Source organism: Homo sapiens, chromosome 15 (genome assembly GCF_000001405.40).
Source record: "Homo sapiens chromosome 15, GRCh38.p14 Primary Assembly".
Lineage (NCBI taxonomy): Eukaryota > Metazoa > Chordata > Mammalia > Primates > Hominidae > Homo > Homo sapiens.
Genome location: NC_000015.10, coordinates 87595008 through 87615941, shown reverse-complemented (window position 1 = coordinate 87615941; position 20934 = coordinate 87595008). Strand labels below are relative to the sequence as shown.

At 39.0% G+C, this 20934-nt stretch overlaps 1 long non-coding RNA gene across 1 annotated transcript in view; it reads left to right on the top strand.

Moving 5' to 3' along the window:
* Positions 1-20934, top strand: part of LOC102724465 (uncharacterized) — a 379687-nt gene that overhangs the window by 87914 nt on the left and 270839 nt on the right. The window lies entirely within an intron of this gene.

Sequence of the window (20934 nt, the reverse complement as noted above, 5' to 3'; positions counted from 1 at the left end):
TATTTTATTTTATTTTATTTTATTTTATTTTATTTTATTATTTTTTGAGACAGAGTCTCGCTCTGTCATCCAGGCTGGAGTGCAGTGGCACGATCTTGGCTCACTGAAACCTCTGGCTCCCGGCTTCAAGCAATTCTTCTGCCTCAGCCTCCCAAGTAGCTGGGATTACAGGTATGCGCCACTATGCCCAGCTAACTTTTGTATTTTTAGTAGACAAGGGGTTTCACCATGATGGCCAGGCTGGTCTCAAACTCCTGACCTCAGGTGATCTACTCACCTCGGCCTCCCAGAGTGCTGGGATTACAGGTGTGAGCCACCATGCTGGCAAGAGGTCATTTATTAACTGCCAAAGACCATTCTGGTGTTAGCAATGTTTGGAACAGGTGCTTGGAGTTGAGGGTATCTGCCATCTCCTGTACACTTGTGCTGGTCAAATGCAATGAGCTCAGCCTTTCTCTGGTGTAGGGTGTACCGAGTCCCAGTTTAAAGGACCTCATTTCTGGGGTCTCCCATACGCGCATGATTCCATCCTTCACACCCAGAGAAGGCAGGGTATTTCCATGGCTTTGGTGCACACTCAGTGGCCAGAAGCTTTGAGTATCCTTTATCACACTAAAGTTGGCCTCAATCTCAATCTCTCTCTCTCTCTCAATCTCTCTCTCTCTCTCTCTCTCTCACACACACACACACACACACACACACACCTCTTTAAAACTACCAATGGAAATACTTTTAACCCTGTGTGTTAAAAGGGCTAACTGAACTGCAAAACTCTGTCTCTGTAAACTAAGGCAAATATAACGCAGCATGGACTTAATAGCTTTAACCTACTCTACAGCAATCAGGTCCACGACTTCAGCGATGAACTAACATCTTTCACAAACCTCTGCCTAGACCTTCACGCCTCACAGACTGCAGCGCTTCGTGTTGGGTAGAACCCACCTCCCCAGAAGCTGTCTCACACCTCCACTCTGAAATAGCAGCCGGCCATGCCACTGGCCAGTTTATGATACAATAGCTTCCTTGGAGCATGCTTATAAATATTTATAGCACCAAGCGAGCAGTAATGGGCTGCTATTCAAACACACCTGCTGGGGAAGAAAGAAATAAAACAGAAAAGAAAGACAACACGTACACACTTACACATATTCATGCCCACTATATGAAGGTCACTTAGGTATTTAGTCCTAGAGAGCACATGCACAGAACGATCAGAATAATCACTGCTTTCCCAGGGTCTGTGGTCCACACATGCAGTATCCTGGAGGAAGCAGGACAAGGACCCATTTTGTTTGTAAATGTTGCTTCCTCCGATCATGAACATGTTTGTTGAACTACAGTTGAAAAATACTGAAGTGAACAAAGAATAAGAAAAACAGTACCTTACCTATCTTACCTCCCAGAGGTAGGTGTTAATATTTTGGAATATTTCTTTCTATGCTCTAAGAAATGCATAGTCTTTATGCTCTTTTGAGCCTTGCTTTATTACAGTTAATGGTATAGTATCTTTAAACAGTTTGAAAATGTTTTCTAATTTGATAGTTGAAAATGATCATTTGTTCTTACGATTTGCATTGATTTTATTATTGAGGGCTGCTTGCTAACTCAGTTAATAAAGATTTACTTCAACACTACTGAGTGTAAAGCTTCTAGCATTGGCGATGGGAGACAAAGATGCATTGGGCAGAATCCCCGTTCTCAAAATGCTTGCAGTCTGATGGAGCAGAAAAGGAAGCTTTGCCTTCAGTGTGTAGTAATTATGATTTCTTCTTTTGTGGCCTGTGTATTCAGGTCTTTTAATAGTTCGGTTTTTGGATGGAGAACCTGAAAATTCAGTGCTTTTATGCTTTCGTTCAGTGAGGGGGTCAATGTGTTAGTGAAGAGATGTTTGATTTCAGTCCCCTATCCTATCATCAAGTCAGCTTTCAGAATAAAGAATGGTGTGCGTAATATTGCCCATGTGCTTTCTTTCAAAGAATTTGGAAAACACTTGCCCTCAGAGGCCTGAAATCAATTTTATCAGAAATTTTAAAATGGGCCAAAAGGGGCTCAGCTTAAACCAAGTCAAAAGAAGGGGAAGAGGTCAAATGACTGATCCCAATTAAAAATGTATATATGTGCCATGCTCTCTACATGCTATGTTGTAGTTTGGGAATTCTTGGGAATAGCCTTTGGCAGTGTAACAGGTAAATAAGCTTCAAATTTGACCTTGGTTTATATTTTTCCGTGGATTTCCAGGCACCTGCTATATTGTCTTCTGCAGCTAAATAGTAAAGAGTTTAGGATCATTAAAAACAATACCTTATTGAGTTCACCTTGCATGTCAGATTTAGTGGCTGAGTCCAGAGAAACCCGGAGATGGCAGAGAGGTGGTGGCTGTACCCAAGGAATGTCCTCCCTCAATGACCGAAGAACTGGACCAGCACTCACCTAACTGGGTAGTTTCAATGGTGCTCACAGGGCAAGGGCCATCAACAGATGCTAAAACAGTGAGGAAAGGCTGATATGTAATAGATGATTGGGAAGTACCTAAGTAACACTCCATATACAACTTAATCTTTATATAAGAAGCGTGCAGCTTTACAATGGAAAAACCTGACTGCCACTGAGTGAGTAAACTCACCTTCACTAAGAGCAATTTAATCAGACATTACCTGCCTCCTGTTGTGATGTGAAATGAAATTCAGTGCCACCCATGAATGTGGCTTGCTTAAAATATTCTAAAATGAATCAAATCTTAAGCTCTACATTCCAGATGGCAGGAAATACAGGGAATAGGTAAACAAGTTAAAAAACACCATAAGAAGACAATTAGACAAATTCAGAATGTGGGACATTTGTACTAAATAAAATAGCTTGGACTCTTCATCTAGGTAACATTATGAAAACAGAAGGAAGTAATGATTCTTGATTAAGGAAACTTAACAAATTTAGCATTATATGAAATGTGTGCTTCTTGGTTAGAATTAGAGTTTTTTAAAAAACCCTAAACTATATAAAAAAATTTTAAGAACAAGGAGGTAAGTTTGAATATAATCTGATTGCTATATTATATTAGAAAATCACTTAATTTTGTTAGATTTTAAAATGGTTTTGTGGGCATGTGGGAAAATGTTTTTGTTTTGGGAGATGCATGATGAGCTATTTATAGATGAAATGTCACAATGGTTTATCAAAAATATAGGTAGGTAGATAGATGGATATAGATAAATGATAGAAAAATAATAGGAAGATAGATGAAGCAAAAGTGGCAAAATTCTAAAAATGTTGAATCTTGGTATTAGGTTCATTCATTTGCCATTACTTTTAATGGCAAAACTGCAATCACTTTTGCACCAACCTAATAAAGATATGAGCAGTCATTATAATATAATGTCTGCTTTTCTCTATATTTACAGATTTTCATAATAAAAAGTTTTTTTTTTAAAGTACTGTCTGTATCAGGTGACCTCAAAATCCCTGGGGAAAAGAGAAAGAACATTTTATTGCTTTAAATTTTTTTAATGCCAAAATGGAAGCAGAAAGAGTTAATTCGGGTCACTTATTCAGAGATTTAGAAACAAGGTATGGTTGTGGATTTTCTGGAGAGTCACAGGAGGCCTACTGTTTGGGTGAAATGTTTCAGTTTTTCTGACAGTTCTCATCTATATGTTTTCTCCAGATATTTCACTGCTCATGTTTCTTTGTCTCATAGCAGAGTGCTGAAGTAGAAAATGCATGCTATTTAGAGCAAGAAGTTGTGGGTTTGAATCCAAGCCTGTCACTTGTAGCTCCTGGATCTGGGGCAGAATAACATTTTAATATTCACTTTCTTAAACTATAAACATTGGATATTAAAATTATTTGCTTCCCAGAATGACCGTGCAGCTAGGAGAATGCTTTGTAGAATCGGCATCTATATTGCATAGGCTGAAATGTACCCCCATTTCACATTCCTATGTTGAAACCTAACCCCCCAGCACTTCAGCATGTAACTGTATTTGGAGATAGGGCCTTTAAAGAGGTGATTAAGTGATCCAATGTGACTGCATTCTTATAAGAAGAGGCATGTTGGACACACTGAGAGACACAGGGATAGGGGCATACACACACAGAAGAAAGACCGTGCGAGGACACAGTGAGCAGGCGGCTGTCTGCAAGCCAAGGAGAGAGGCCTCAGAGGAACCTTCTGACACCTTGATTTTGGACTTCCAACCTCTAGAACTGAGAAAATAAATTTCTGTGGTTGAACACCCAGTGGTATTTTGTTATGGTAGACTTAGCAAGTTAATGCATATGTACCATGTGCATTGTCGTTTTCTTTTATTCTCTTTAATTGCTATGCAATACTGTTACCTTCCAAGACCAGTATTTTTTTTTTCCTTTTGTTTCTGATACAGCTCTGTTATGGACCCTATCCATCCTAGCAGCCTTACTCAAAGGATGACCTCAGGAAATGCATAGTCCTTCCAGGGTCCCTAAATCTCTTGATGGGACAATCAATAGTAGATTTCAATTCTCACTAAAAGTATTTTTCAGTTTGTCACTCAGTCATTTTCAAATGTTTAATGAGTGCCTACTATGTGTCAGGCTGTCATGGGCACTTGAATAGTTAAAAGAAGAGAAATCAAAATTAGTGCCAAATTACTCTGCAGCCATTAGACAGGAAGGGTTACAGAACGTATTTCCTTCTAAGCATTTTGGGGAAAAAAATACAGTTTCCACTAATTCTAACTACTCCTCTCCCTCACTCAAATGGTTCTACCACCACCACCATTTGAAATGTGTACAGTCTTATTTGGAGTGCAAGCAGTTGGAATATCAATCAATTAATACATCATTTGATCAGCAAATATTAATGTTCCATATGAAACAGCAACAACAAACAAGAGTATAAGGCAGGGAACTTGCCCTCAGGGAACTTCTACAAATTTCTGAGAGATGCAAGATAGAAAATTAGAAGAGATGTCACAAGGCAAGACATGTATATTTAGTGCCATGCCATCACTGGGTTGATTACCTCTTGGTTACTTTTAACTTGATTTCCCCAAGCTCTTATTACTTTACTCTTTCTGCTCCCCCACTTCCTCCTCCCTTCCTTTTGTGTCTGGCAGTATCATTGGCTCCTCCCCATTCTCCTGTTAATATTGAACCATAGTGTCTTTCTACCACCTTCCATTCTACTCATGTAGCTGTTAAAGGTACACATACATCTCAAAGCTGTGGTGACAAATATGAGAAAATGAAATTGAAGGGCTGATTTCAAAAGAAATGAAGGCCAGAATAACCCAGAGTAAAAAAAAGGTCGTAGCATTAGGTCATAGCAGCCAGAAGCAGCCCATGCAGGAAAAAAAATCGTTGGAGCGCAAGGGTGGTTGAAAAGAGAACTTGAAATAAGCATTTATATTTATCTTTGTTAACGGCCGGAGAGTGCAAGGGTTCTGGAGAGGGCCAGCACTATCACTGCAATGTACGGAAGCTGAGTCACCATTTCGGCATAGGGATCGTTTTTTAAAACTGATAAGGAAGGGTTTGTGAATGACTTCTGTTTCTGAATCAGAATTAGAAATTAGAAAGGGTGCATAGTTATTACTATTCACATGGTAATAGCAATCACATATGCGTGGTAATTAGGTTGTCAATTTGGCATTAGCAGGTAAGAAAAAGGGTAAACTTGCTGGGGTGCGTTAGACTACAGTTGGGGCAACAGAAGCTGAATGTAGAGTACAAATCATTCCTGTGCCTCACTAGGGATGCCCCTGCCAAAGGGGAAGGGAAGCCCGGGCCTGACAGGCATGGGATCCTGGGACAAGGGCCACTCAGTCAGGACCCATCACACACCAAGAAGGCTCATTCCCAATCTCTTTCTCTCACTCACTCTCTCTGGCTCAACAGTGACCCCTCTTTTCAAATATATGTCTTCTTCCTGTTCCACTCTACTCTCTATAGCCCGGTTTCCTTGGTCTCCTCTTATTTTTCTGCTCTCATTCCCAATCTCTTTCTCTCTCACTCACTGTCTCCGGCTTGGTAGTGATCCCTATTTTTAAAAATGTGTTAAATATATGTTTTGCTGCAGTTCCACTTTCCTTTCTATAGCCTGGTTCCCTTGGTCTCCTCTTATTTTTCTGCTCTCTTAAATCTTCAGTACACACAGGGCGTTGCTTTTCTTGGTGCTGACTGCAGCTCTAATTCTACATAACCCTTGGACTAGCATCTCTGCAACTGGGTGGGTCAATTCCCCAGTGATCCAATCACAAATCCCCAGACAAATTTGCAGAGTCACAGCTTATGGAAAATTTAGGCTCTGAAGTCTGCTTGTGAGACAAAAAGTAGACTTGGCAAATCTCTTTAGAAGCACTTCACTGGAAACTGACACATTGCTTCTTAGTGAGTCAGATCCAGCTGTGTTATCCTCTAGTATTGGGCTAGCATGATTTCCTGAGTATGAGATGAAATTGTTAGTTTCCCTTTAGTAGGCAAAGTTTATGAAACACGGGCATTGTAAACAGGAGCAGGACCCTTAGCTTGGTGAGATGCCTGTATTCTCAGAGGTGCTTAGAAAACAACACAGACTTGGGGGGGAACAGTGTGTTCATATCAGCTATATCTCCTTAATGAATGGGATGGTGCTAGGAATCTCCTATGCAACTACAATTATTTTTCTTTTTCTGTGTCTCCCTCCACCTTAATGTACACATTTGCATACCTTAATGTGATGTGAGTCCACTCTAATGGACTCCATTTACTCAGGAGTCTACCTTGTGGCTGAGCAAAATGAAGGTGAGCGCTCAGAGGCCTGGCAGATGATTCAGCAGTGAATCAAAAAGGAGAGGTTCACAGACAGGTTGGAAATGGGGAGCAGCACCCCACATAAACCTCTTAGAATGATGCCAGGAGAGTTTTTATTAGGGGATAATGAAGTCTGACTTTGTGGATACCAAGTGACTACTAGCAGATAGATTCTTCTAAGGGTGATGAGTTGGGGGTGGGGGTGAGTGATTATCCTAATTGTTCTTATTCTTAAAACAGACTAAGAACGCTTATACCTGGCCTCTTTTCCACTCTCAAAAGCCAGTTTCTCAGAATTCAAACTAATAACTGTGTGTAAGTTTAGATAAGTAGAAGTCTCATGTAAGGCTATTCAGCACAGCAACTGTGAATCCAGATGCTGAGGTTGGATAGACCTGACTGCCACATGCGCTGTAATTTTAGACAAATTGTTTAACCTTTCAAAGCCTCAGATTTTCCACTATAAAGTGGGCATTGTTAAGACTTACCATCCAGTGGTCTTGCAAGGATTAAGTGAGATAATGCACAATTCCTGGCACATCATACATGACAGTATGCATCAGAGTTCATAGAAACTAATTTGAGCCTTGGCGTCTGTGATGGTCTTTGGAAAATAAGGAAGAGGACAGGAGACAGGCAGATGGTTCAGGAGACCGGGCAGGACAACGTTTGTGATGTGCTTCTCTGTGCAGTTTCACTGGCCCTGTGCTCAGAAGGTCTTATCAGGCAGGACATGCCATAAGTTTAAAGGGCCGCCAGGGGCCCATCTGAGGCTAAACCTTTCTTTGTGCAAAGTTAATCCCTGACAGCATAGAAAAGCAATGAGAAAAAATTGCCAAAGGAAAAAAAATGTGACTTAGTGAGTGATGGAAATAGAAAGGGGTGGGGGGAAGTAAGAGAAAAGCAACAGCTCTCCAAGGACTCCAAGGAGGGAGCTGGAAAAGTGTGGTACATGAACAGACACTGGGAGGGCAAGAGAGGGCTTACCTGTTTAAATAAATCAGAGCTGGCATTTATTATAACGATTGCTAGAGACAATAAATACAAATCACAGATCAGGCCAGGTACGGTGGCTCATGCCTGTAATCCCAGCACTTTGGGAGGCCGAGGTGGGCGGATCACGAGGTCAGGAGTTTGAGACCAGCCTGGCCAACATGGTGAAACCCCATCTCTACTAAAAATACAAGAAGTAGCCAGGTGTGGTGGCGTGCACCTGTAATCCCAGCTACTCAGGAGGCTGAGGCAGGAGAATCGCTTGAACCCGGGAGGCGGAGGTTGCAGTGAGCCGAGATCGTACCACTGCAATCTAGCCTGGGTGACAGAACAAGACTCCGTCTCAAAAAAAAAATCAATCAATCAATCACAGACCAGCTATTATGGATGATATTACAAAGACTGTACTAATAGCAACTGCCTGTGGTACCTTTAGTGTCCTTGTCTTCTGCTCTTCCTTGCTATCCCTGGTGACCTGTTTGGAAGATTTGAATCAGCCTTTCAGGGGTTTTTCCTGAGTCTCCCATTTCTCTCGAGCACTCCCCTCCTACCTACACGTTTGTCTCCTAGCTTTCACTCCACCTCACCACTGCACACACCCTTGCACACAGAGACATACATGTTCACTCACACATACATGTGCCCACTCTCACTTTGGGCGCTTCTCAGATTCACTGTATTTACTTGGCGAGCTCTTTCTTCAACATGTTCATAGGAGGCCATTTGGCCTAAGATGTGTTTCCTTATACCAAATGCCATCTTCATCAAACCTGCATCTCTAATTCACCTTCACAGAAAATCTCTCAGGCCTCATCTATAGCAATCACCATTCACTTTTTCTACTCCCACAGCTGGGTGCTTCATAGTTACTGGAACTTAATAAATATGAAATAGTTGGAATAATTGACCCCTTATCACCATTTATCAGAAGCAGCTTTTCCTACCTCTCAGTCTTCCCTTAAAAGGAAGGGCCTGCCACTCAGGCCTTCCAGTTCTCTAAGCAAGAAAAGCAAAGTCCCTGGAGATGATAAACTGTTCCAAAAGCTTCAGCCCTCACATGCCTGCTTCCCTCTTTGTGAGTGTAGAGAAGAATGAGAAGCAGCCCATTAATTCAGCAGTAATACAGTGTTTTCCTTTGCAATGTCCTTGATTTTATTTTGTAGTGATTCTTCAACATCACAGGTTAAAGAGGTACGTTTGCTATGGGATGTCTCTAGGCAAATCGAGTGAGCAAAACTATTTAGTCCCCTCCTCTTTGTCCTTACTGAATCTCTTCCTTTTCCTTTAACACCACTAGATCCTCCGATTTCCTCTCTAGGCTCCACTCTCTCAGTTTGCCTTAGCGTATGCATCTGATGGGTTCTAGTACCTGGCATTGGCTTATGGCCAGCTTTTCAAACACATCTATCATTCTCAGTGCTCTGATGAGACACATAGGGCAGGTATCATCATCATCATCAACATCATCTTATAAAATCTCGATCATTTTACAGTTATGAAAACTGAGACCAAAGTAATTGGGATAAATTAATCAAAATGCAAATTCAGACTTCCGATCCAGATTTTTTCCTCATTGATTTCCTTCATCTTTAATGCTGAAGGCAGAGATGGCAAATATATGGCGTTCTTGTAGCCACTTTCTACTCTGGTACCCACTATAACTGTTCTAGTTTTCTTGTTCCTTCCTAAAGTGCCTTGGATGGCTTAGAAACACTTGTAATATTGTTCTGGATAATCACTATCAATTGAACAAAGATGGCAAGTAAATTAACACACAATTTTCACTCTTAGCCGAGGTCAGAACTTCCCAAGTGATACTGGAAGTAAGAATTCTACAGAGCAAAGGCTTTCAAATGTCATAGGATGACTTAGTTGGAGGAGCATCAGGGGCAAATGCAAGGGAACTAATTTGTTTTTTGAGATGGAGTTTCACTTTTGTCATCCAGGCTGGAGTGCAATGGCCTGATCTCGGCTCACTGCAACCTCCGCCTCCCAGGTTCAAGTGATTCTCCTGCCTCAGCCTCCAGAATAGCTGGGATTACAGGTACCCACCACCATGTCTGGCTAATTTTTGTATTTATAGTAGAGATGGGGTTTCACCAGTTTGGCCAGGTTAGTCTTGAACTCCTGACCTCAGGTGATCCACCCCTCTTGGCCTCCCAAAGTGCTGGGATTACAGGCGTGAGCCACTGTGCCTGGCTACAAGGGAACTAATTTTAATGAGTGCCTATGATTTTTGTAGACTTCGTGTTAATTCTGCTTATAACCTATTGAGATAAGCAATGTTATTTCTGGTTTTCAGTTGAGGAAACTGAGGCTTAGCGTTGAAGTCACTTACCCAGACATGGAGTCAAGCAAGAGATGGAGTCTGAATTAGAGGCAACATCTGAGCCAGAAGCTCTGCCATAAATCTGCCCTCACCCACTCTCTTCCCAGCCCTTCAAACTGAACTTCTTTTCATCTTATTGTAATAGCATGCATCTCAACATTAAAAGAGAACAGCTATAGAAAAAAAATATGGGGCAGAGAAAAGAGATAAGTACAGTCACAATGTCAGGATTTGTTGTTTGTGATCTTGTGTATAAAGGTATGAAGCCAGAATTAGCTCTTTTTTCCCCAAGAACTGTGTGTGTTTAAGTATTATCCTGCACAAGTATGTAAATTTTTAAAACCCATTTCTCAATCCTTTTTCTATTTCCTTGAAGATACCCTTATAATACCATGCATGTGTGTGTGTGACAATTTTCCCTTTGCTGCTCTGCAGTTAGTGGATCAGGATCAACGATTGTGGCAGGAGGAAGAGGAGGAATAGAAAAGAATATCAAAGGCTGTATCAGCCGCCCAGTATTGATTAAACACTTTCTGTGTATCTTCCATTGTTCTAGGCACTGTGGGCACCACAGAGAGTGTAAGACAGGGTCACTTCTTTCTGAGACATTATAATGAGCTTAATTTCAAAGACCTTAATATCTGGTAGAAAAAAATAATGTCTGAATTAGGAAAGTAATAGAATCACAAAAAGCTAGGAGTTGAAAGGGACTTTATATTACTTGCCGCTGCATCCCTCACTGATGGATGAAGATGAAATTGTATTTTTGCGGCTTCACCGACAGGGGGCTCATGCTCCCTTGTAGTGGCACATCTTTACTCCATCACTTGTGCCTGATGACCCTAGTTCTGCTGTCAGGGCAGCTTAGTAAACGTCTCTTTCTTCTCATAAGAATGCCTGATAGATTAGAGGGTGGCTACTATCTCTTCCCTTAGCTGCTTTTTTTCTATCTACTCTTTCTGCAACCATTTCTGTGGTCATGTTTCAGAAACTTCACCATCCCTCCTCTGGATCCCCCCTAGTTAGTGTTAACAAGACTACTGAGAAAGAAGTATTGGGTTAAGAGAGACTTCATTTCTTTGTGCAGTTTGCAAACCAAAAATTTGATAAAGACTTCAGTACAAAACAAAGATGCATTCCCAGAGAACAAAGAGAGGGTTATGTTTTATAGAAAAAGTTCCCACATGGGCCCACTTATGCAAATGAGGGATGCACACTTGCTTAGTCCTGATTGATTGATGCTCATTGACTTCTGATTGGTGGATGCAGGTCACAGCCTATAGTTTGATTCAGGCAGCATAAACAGAAAAAGACAACTTTGAAAGTCCCAAAGTTATGTGTGTGTGGGTTTTCCTGGGATGCTGAGTACCTGTGTGACCTTTCTTCAGCAAATGGCTGCTTGGTTGTATTTTACATTTAGGCCCAGTTCGCCACTCAGGATCCATCTTTAAGGATTCACTCTTTTAGAGTTTATGTTGGCCAGAATCCTCCTTAAATATGATTGAGGGAAACAAGTGTAATCCTCCAAGATTGGCTGACTCGGGTAGAAGATGCTGCACCATTTTTCCAGCTCTGAACACTCTGCCTCTTTTATTGCGGGCTAAGTTTGTGGTAATATTTTAGCAGCTGCAGAATACCATTGGCACCCATTAAATGCATGCTGGTAAGCTTCAAATTATTTCCTTGGGGATGGATGTCAGGTTAAAGGCATTTTAGGGTAATTTTAAAGTATTTTAAGGAAGTTAGTCATCAAACTTGAGTGCTAATTCTGGTTTTACTACTATTTGGCTGTGAATCCTTGGGCAAGTCCCGTTTTCTGGGCTTCAAGTTAATATCCCTGTTAAATAAGGCAATTGAACTATTAATATATGATCTTTCAAGTCTCATATACTATTAAATTTCTGAGCGAAGGCTAAATTCCATCTCCTGTAAGAACAATTGCATTTTCGAACCCACATGCAAAATTTCACATTTGCCCCATTACGTTTGTCCCATTTATTCCAGAATGTTTTGGCCCAGGTTTCCAAGCTTTTAAGAACTTTTTGAATTACAAGCCCATAACTGAATGCATTGACTCTTGTGCTTCACAATGTTTCATTGGTAACAGATCAGCTGTTTAAGAAGCTCTTTTAGAATATTGTCTGACCAACTTCCTTCCTGATCTTGACTCTTTTCAACCTGGATTTCTCAACTCAGCCTATTCTTTGCTACCAATACTCCTTAGTTTATTAGCTGGCACTTTCTAGAACCTACCCTTTGCTGTTTTTGAGAAATTATGATTAAAATTATGTCTTTAGTCTTCAGGCTTATCTCCTTTTCACCCTTCTCAGTTCCTCAGAGTTCCCTGATTAAAATTTCGCACGTCTACAAATTCTTGATTCATGTGTGATAAACATTTTGTCATTTAACTTTTGGCTGTCCAGCATTCAGTTCTTGTTTTTGAAGAGTTCCCTTGTTGCACATATTAGTGGTAGATTGCAGTACCACACACCTTCCATAATGGAAGTCAAAGTGAGAGCTCTCTCCTCTCAGCACCACAGCCAGTATAGAAGTGCACTCCCTACACAGTCAGGTATTGCTGTTCAGGGCTGATTCTGGATAAAATGATACAAAGATGGAGGAATGTTTGAGGTGAGTTTCCAACAGCTGTTATGGTTTTCCTTGGTGGCTGTAGCTGTCTCCAGCTTGAGGTTGTCTTTACCAAATCTCCTATAACACAGATGCTATATATCCTGCTATTGATTTTCAAGAGGTCTTGCCATTTTCTAAGCCTTCATCCTCATCTTCTCAGTTTTATGAAACTCCCCTATATTTCCAATAGATTCCTCCTATAATTAAGTTAGTCAGAGATTGTAATTACTATTTGTAACAAAGAATCCTGATAAAAACATCTCTGTAGACACTGCAGGATGTAATCATCACCAAGACACTGCCACCCAAGAACATCTCTTCTTGAAGAAGATTGTGTGTGCAAAACACTGGCTACATGTGCATACCCCCTGGGCACATAGGCCCAAACTGCCCCCTTTGTGAGCCTTGCTTCTGCTCAGGCTTGGCATTCCCAAGTTAACCCATCTCTGACTTTGTTTTCCTGTTCCCCACTTTTTGGACTACTATGCTGCTGTTTCTTTCTATGTGTATGGTGGTCTTGAGCCAACCACAGTCTCAGCCTTGACCCATCCTTGTTCCAGGCTTCCTTGTGCTGTTTATCACTTACTTCACTTTCCCAAGAACAAGAATACCACAGCTGTCCTTCTGGCCTGAATCGGGTCTCTCTTCATTACTCCTTCCCTTGGCAACATCAACCAGTTGTGTAGTTTTAAATATCAACCTCTTGACAGTGATTCCAAACTTTACATCCCCAGCCCTGACCTTTACCCTGAATTCCAGCCTTCTGTTTCCAACTGCCTGATCCACATTTCCAATTAGTTATATGATAGGCCTCTGAAACCTAACATACTTTAAATTAAGCTTACAGACTCTGCTCCTAATCCTGCTGCTACCACAGCTGCCTCTGTATCAGTGGCTGGCTACTCTCTCCTTCCATTTCCTCTGGCAAAATGCTTTAGGATTATCTTTACCTGTTCTTGTTCTCTTACACCTCACATTGGATCTCTCTGGAAAGTTTGTTGGATAAATCTTCAAAATATATCCATAATTTAATTTATAAATTTAGTATAATACCTCTCCAAATACCATTAGATTTATTTCAAAGGCTAGCTAAGTTGATTATAAATTTACTTGGCAAAACAACAAGCAATAGAATCTCTTCTGAAAATGAACAATAAAATTATGTTAGTTCAACCAGATACTAGAACATGTTCTTAAAACCTTTACAAGGAAAACAATGGGGATTGATGCATGAATAGCACAAAAGACATTAAAACAGAATAGAAAATCTAGAAATAAACCACATTTTATATAAATTTTTTAAATACAATGAAACTAGCACCCAAATCAGTGGAACGGAGAGCAAACCTGTTGGAGGGAACAGAGATAAAAGCGAGATGTCTTTAAATATGCCTTATTTTGTATATTTGACATCAAAACTAAATAATATCCCATGTAATGACAAAACCAAAATAAAATAGAAATAAAGCAATTTCTAAAATTAAGAAGCAAAATAAAACCAATAAACCTTAAAATGTCTTGTATTTTTGACATAACTATACAGAAGGGAATTATTTCAAAAGAATTTAAAACAAATGATTTTTGTGCTACACTCAAAGCACAAAATAAACATACAAAAAGCTACCTTAAATTAGTTTTCATAATTGTGTTGCTAGTACGATATTGGTAGTGTTTTAAAACACACTTATATATACACTTTTACATAGATGGTAAGATGATGAGCCTGGAGCAATCTGCTATACAGAAAGCCAGCAAGCTATCAAAGACTGCTAAGAGAATATCAAAAGGAGACAGGATCCCACTTAAAGATGCTCCCTTTGACCAAATATCGGGCATTTTCAACATCAAAAAGAATAATCAAATTTCTGCTTCTAGGAATGTATAATAGATTGACTTTTCCGTATTCCTTCTGCTAAGCGCAAGTAAAAACACTGGAATTGTATTTTAAAAATCCATAAAACTCTAAAAGATGGAGAGAAGAAGTTAAACTTACTGGTGACCTCCGGACCAAAGGAACAACATTGTCATGAGTGCCGTGGGTTTTCTTTTTGCCTCATATATCCTAGATTTGGAGGCCAAGAAAACAGTAACTTGAAAGAACCAATGAGTGCAAGCAAAAAAGCTGCCCATCTCCAAAACAGAAAATACAAGGAAAGAATTAAGCCCTAGTGAACCTACAATTACATTTCAAGTAAATGGTCTAAATACACCCATTCAGAGATTGGCAGAAAAGAAAAATCATATGACTATATTAATTGAAGCAGAGTATGTAACAGAAATGTGCAACAAAATTAAATGCATATTTATGATTAGAAACTCTAAGAGATATAGAGGGGAATCTTATTCAACTTGATAAAGAACAGCTGCGAAGAACTGAAGTTAACATTATATTTAACAGTGAATGATGGAATGCTTTCTGAGTTTAGGGACAAGGAAACCATGTCTGCTTTCACCACTCTTATTAAACCTAGCATTGAAAGTTCTAGTCATTTCAATGTAGCAAGAAAAGGAAGTAAAATCATATAGATTGGATAGAAATTATACACACACACACACACACACACACACTTTTTTAGTTAGCATATGACATAATTGTGTAGAATATCCCAAACAACCTGTTGGAACTAATAATGAGTTTAGCAAAGTCACGGAATACAAGATAAACATATGCAATTCAGGTAGGTTTTAGCAATAAACATGTAGACACCAAAATTTAAAATACAACTCAATTTATAGTTGCTCAAAAAAAGAGAGAAACACTTATGTGTAAATTTACCAAAACATATACTAATATTGCGTGTTGAAAAATACAAAATGCTGGTGAAATAAACCAAAGAAGATCTAATCAAATGGAGATACATACCATTTTCATGGATTAGAAGACTCAACATGATAGTGTTAATTTTTCCTAAATTGATATAAAAATTTAATGTAATTACCATTAAAATCTCAGGAATTTTTTTGTATCATAGACAAGATTATTCTAAAATTTATACAGTAATACAAAGGACTAGAATAAAGAAATAATTTTGTAAAAGACAAATAAAAGTGAGAGGAATCAATCTACCCAATCTCAACACTTGTTATGTAGCTACAATTCTATGTAACATTGACAGAAGGACAGACACATGGATTAATGAAACAGAGTAGAAAACCTAGATATACAATGCACAAAAATGCCCAATTTATTTTTGACAATGGTGAAAAAGTAATTATATGGCAGTGAGATAATTTCTTCAATGCGTGCTGGGGTAATTTACACACCCATAACCAAAAAAGAAAAAAATCAAAATACAAACAAAAATGCTTGTGGGGATGTGAAGAAACTTGATCACTCATACATTGCTGGTGAGATTACAAAATGGTACAGCCATTCTGAAAACAATTTGGCAATTTCTTTAAATAAATTAACATGCAACTACCATATGAATCAGCAGTTGTATTCTTGGGCATTTATCCCAGAGAAATAAGAACTATGTCATACAAAAATCTAGACACAAATATTTATAGACGCTCTATTAATGACGTCTCCAAACTGCGAACAACCCAGATGTCCTTCAAAAGGTAGATGCTTAAATAAACTCTGACATCCACACCATGGGATACTATTCAGCAATGAAAAGGAATAAACTTGATATACACAACAACCTAAATGAATTTTCAGGGAATTAGTGCTAAATGAAAAAAAAACAGTCTCCAGTGGTTATCTATTATATGATTCAATTCATATAACATTGTTGAGATAATCATAGAAAAGAAGACTAGCTTAGTGTTTGTCAAGGATTAAGGCAGGAGGGAGGGCAGGAGGTGAATGAATATGTCTATACAAGGAAAACATGAAGGGATCCTTGTGCTGATGAAGATGTTCTATATCAGGAGTCTATCAATCTCAGTGTTCTTGTTGAGATATTTTACTGCAGTTACGCAAGATGTTTATCACTGAAGATAACTGGGTAAATGGTGTATGGACTATCTGTATTATTTCTTATAACTGCATGTAATTTATAGTTATCTCAAAAAGTTTGATTAAAAAGAATAATTATAATACAGTAAAATACATCAAATATTTAAAATCCATAAGTTCTTAATGATACAGAAACAAAAATCACATTGGCCTCCTTTGGAGGATGCTAGAAAAACATGATTCTGAAAGCTGGTGAAAATAAGGCATATAAGCATCTGTCTACTTTTTCTGTTTAAGTTTTACCTCAAAGTAATCAAGTGCTTGATAAGGAACATTTTCTCTTTTAGAATTTAATAACAAATAGGCAAAAAAGAAATAACACTGTTACAATATTACTAGTTTGTAACCCTGAATAAATAAAGGATGAATGCAGTGCTTCTTGATGTCTTTTAAGAGCATCAAGTGAAAAGTGAGGAAGAAATTCGTGATAGACCAGTGTGACAATATCTGTATCCACTGTTCAACCTTAACATAAAGGAGAATAAATCAGACATTAAGCACCTTCCCATGAAAGTATATAAACCATCTATGAAGTATTCTCCCAAAAAAAAAGAATCTTATCAAGGATCTAAATCTAATTGCCAGTTTATGAGACATGTAGAAGTCAAAGAAATACATTAAACAACAGGACATATTCAGCAAAATCTAGAATGTGGGAAAATCTACAATAATAATAACCTGGTTTCTTCAAAAATAAATTTAAAGAAAGTTCAAAAAGCAAAAGAGAAATCTCTAGGTGATCAAATCTTAGGAGACATCAAAGAAACCCAATGCATGGAGCTTGTGTGAATACTAATTTCAAAAAGAATTGTAAAAACAAATTATGAGACAATAAAGGAAATCTCAGTGCTGATTAGATATTTGTTGCTGTTAAGGAATTATTGTTAAGTTTTTCAGATGTGAAAATGGCAATATGCTTATGTTTTTAACATAATGTGTCTCTAAAAGTTTTGAACAATATGTGTGGATTAGTATTTGCCTCTCACTAATTCAATAGTAGGAAAAAATGAGTATAGAAAAAGCAAGAAGCAAGATATGCCATGAGCTGAAGTTTTTTGACAGACAGTCACTCTACTTTTCTATTGTTGCCATTTTTGTATATGTTAAATGTGTGTCCAGAAGGCTTTACTTCCTCTACTGCTAACCTTCTGGTACAGTCTACCTTCATTTCTAACTGGAAGCATTGTAGCATAATCCTAACTGGTCTATCTCCTGGCTTCGACCTTTACCCTTCTTCCATCTCCTTGCATCTGTCTGCAACACAGGAGTCATGACAATCGCTTTAATACCCAAGTCAGATCCTGTTGTTTGTTTCTCTGCTCAAGACAGTGCTTTATATCACTAGGAGTAAAAGTGAAAGTCCTTACACCAGCCTATAGGGACTCTGCTCTGCACCATTGGCCTCTGGTAACCCTCTGATTGGCTCACTGCCTTTTCATCTCCTTCCTTATCTGATGCCACAGTCCTTCATTTGCAACATTTGTTTTGGCCTTTCCTGTTTGCAGATCACTCTCTCAGACTGGAGAAAGGGTAAGAAGAGGTGTATACAGATTTCTGCCAGGGTCCTCTTATAGGTTAATAATATACCATCTCCATCCAAGTAGATGCTTGTAACTCCCTGGTTCAATTGCCTTCACCAAATGAAGCTTCAAAGTTTCTGTTGTCTGGTTGTGGCATTTTTGACAGTATCAGTTTGCTGTGGTTTGGCCCCAACACCACATCCTCATGGGGTTGTTGTACTCCTGTTTTATGTGTCTCTTAGCTCATACATCCTTTTGCCCATGTTTTTATCTTTGGCCTTTTGCAATCTGAGCTTGTCAGAGAGCCTCTGTGAAATGACACTTGTTACTTTAACAGCATTTTTTTATCTCATTAGAATTGTTCATAATTGTCTCATCACAATTTCTCTTCTTGGAAATCCCTATTTAATGCCATCCATGTGCTCCCATGGATTCTCTGACCGTGGGAGATTTGCTACCATTTGTTCGAACTCTGAAGTTTCAAACCCAAGACAAAGAATTAAATATTGTTTTGAGTACGTGCTGTGTGCCAGGCACTGTGCTGGATTTGTCACATGCACCATTTCATTTAGTTCTAAGGATAGTTATAGTAACAAACAGAATCATTTGTATTTCCTTTAAAATCAACAACAAAAGGAAATTTGGAGTCTGCCAGTAAATGACTGAAGCTGATGTATAAACCAAGCAGTAGAATCAGAATTCGGATTCAAATCTGGGCTCCAAGATGCAGATCATTAAGTGGTACACTTGAAGAATGTATTTCCTCTCTGTTTCAAAAAGAAGTTAAAACTTACTTTTCCCCCGATCTTGTCTCTTCTACTTCACCAGGTATGTCTTCCCATCAGTCAGCCCAGAATCGTAATTCCTCTATTTTTCTCATCCCCACTATTTCATTGATTCTTCTGATAAAATAAGTGAATTATCAATGATGTAGCACAAGGACTTACAAGATACCCCCCCACCCCACCTTTTTTTTTTTTTTGCAGAAATGGTCTTCTAGCCACTCATGGACAGTGAAAATACCTTCTTACTCCTTTATGTCTATTTGATAATGTATATTAAGAAGGAATAAGCTATATCTTTAGACTATGTGGGAGCATAGAATACTTGCATGGTATTGTATTTGTTCTCCCTTGTTTAAAAATAGAATCTAAGGCCAGGCGTGGTGGCTCACGCCTGTAATCCTAGCACTTTGGGAGGCAGAGGTGGATGGATCACCTGAGGTCAGGAGTTCGAGACCAGCCGGGCCAACATGGCTAAACCCCAACTCTGCTAAAAGTACAAAAATTAGCTGGGCGTGATGGCGGTCACCTGTAATCCCAGCTGCCTGGGGGGCTGAGGCTGGAGAATCCCTTGAACCCAAGAGGTGGAGGTTGCAGTGACCCAAGATTGTTTTATTGCACCCCAGCCTGGGTGACAAGAGCAAACTCCATCTCAAAAAAAAAAAAAAAAAAAAAAAAAAGAATATAAGCCCTCTCCCTCTCCACTGGGCTCTGTTTTTTCACCATGGATCTCTACTCTGTGGCATACTCTTTAGCTGCATACTCTTACTACCTCTTAAATGAGAATAGACATATCACAATTTTCAGTTAGTTTTTATTCTAAAACAGATTCTGAAGCTGCTGTCTTTAGAGTTATGTAGTGGAAAGAGTGCTGAACTCAGACAATCTGAATGCAGTGATAGTAGCTAATATTTATTGAGCACACACTATATGCCACACACAGCTCTAAGTGCTTTTCATCGATTATCTTATTTGAACCCCACAACAACCTATGAAGTAAGAAACTATTTTGTAGGTGAAGAACTGGATGGGTAGAGGGGCCAGGTAATGTTCCCAGTGTTGCATAGTAAGGAGTAGTAAAGCTAAGATCAGTGCTCTGTGGTCCAAAGCCAAAAGCTGAGCTCTTATCCACCTCTCTATTCTGTACTTCCTAGCTCAGTTATCACTAGTCTGATCCCTGGGGCAAATCACTTAACTTCTTTGATACTCTGTAAATGTCGACAATAACAATTTTCTCATCAATGAATATAAAAACTTTCAGTACACTGAAAGTCCTTTATAATCATAATGGATTACCATCACATGAAATTGACAATACCAATAATAACAATTGCAACACTTATTCGAGATATATTATGTCTCACCATTATCTATAGTATTTCAGAGCTCATTTAATTATCACATGGACTGTTTGGAGAAGATAGTGTTAGTCTTACAATTTTAAAGACAAGAAAAATAGATAAGAATGTGTAACATAATTTATAAAATTACATGCAGAAATACACATGCTTTGTGGATGTCCTATTTCTGACCATAAACCTTTAGAAAACCCCCAGTGGAGGCAAATAGTGTTGGCTCTTTCTTGGTGTTTGGATGATGCCATACACCCATGATTTCATTTTTTTCCATATGGGTCATGTCAGCAGGTGAGAGAGTCAGTGACAGGTGCCTCTTTCCCTACCCACCCGCCAATCCACAAAGCAATATGTGACTACACACAATTGTCTCTTAAAGAGTCAGGCACATGCACTGTCATCTCTCCAGGAAGTTTTTCAGCCTTGTCAGAGCACACTTTCAGTGACAAGACATAATGGACTTGGGGTTTCATTAAGTGCCAGAGAGCTCTGTGAAAAATGTGTAGACTTTTGTCTGAGCAAGAGCGATTTCAGACAGGAGGTAAGATTTACTTGACCAATAGAATGGATTAGAATACTTTTAGAATGAGGC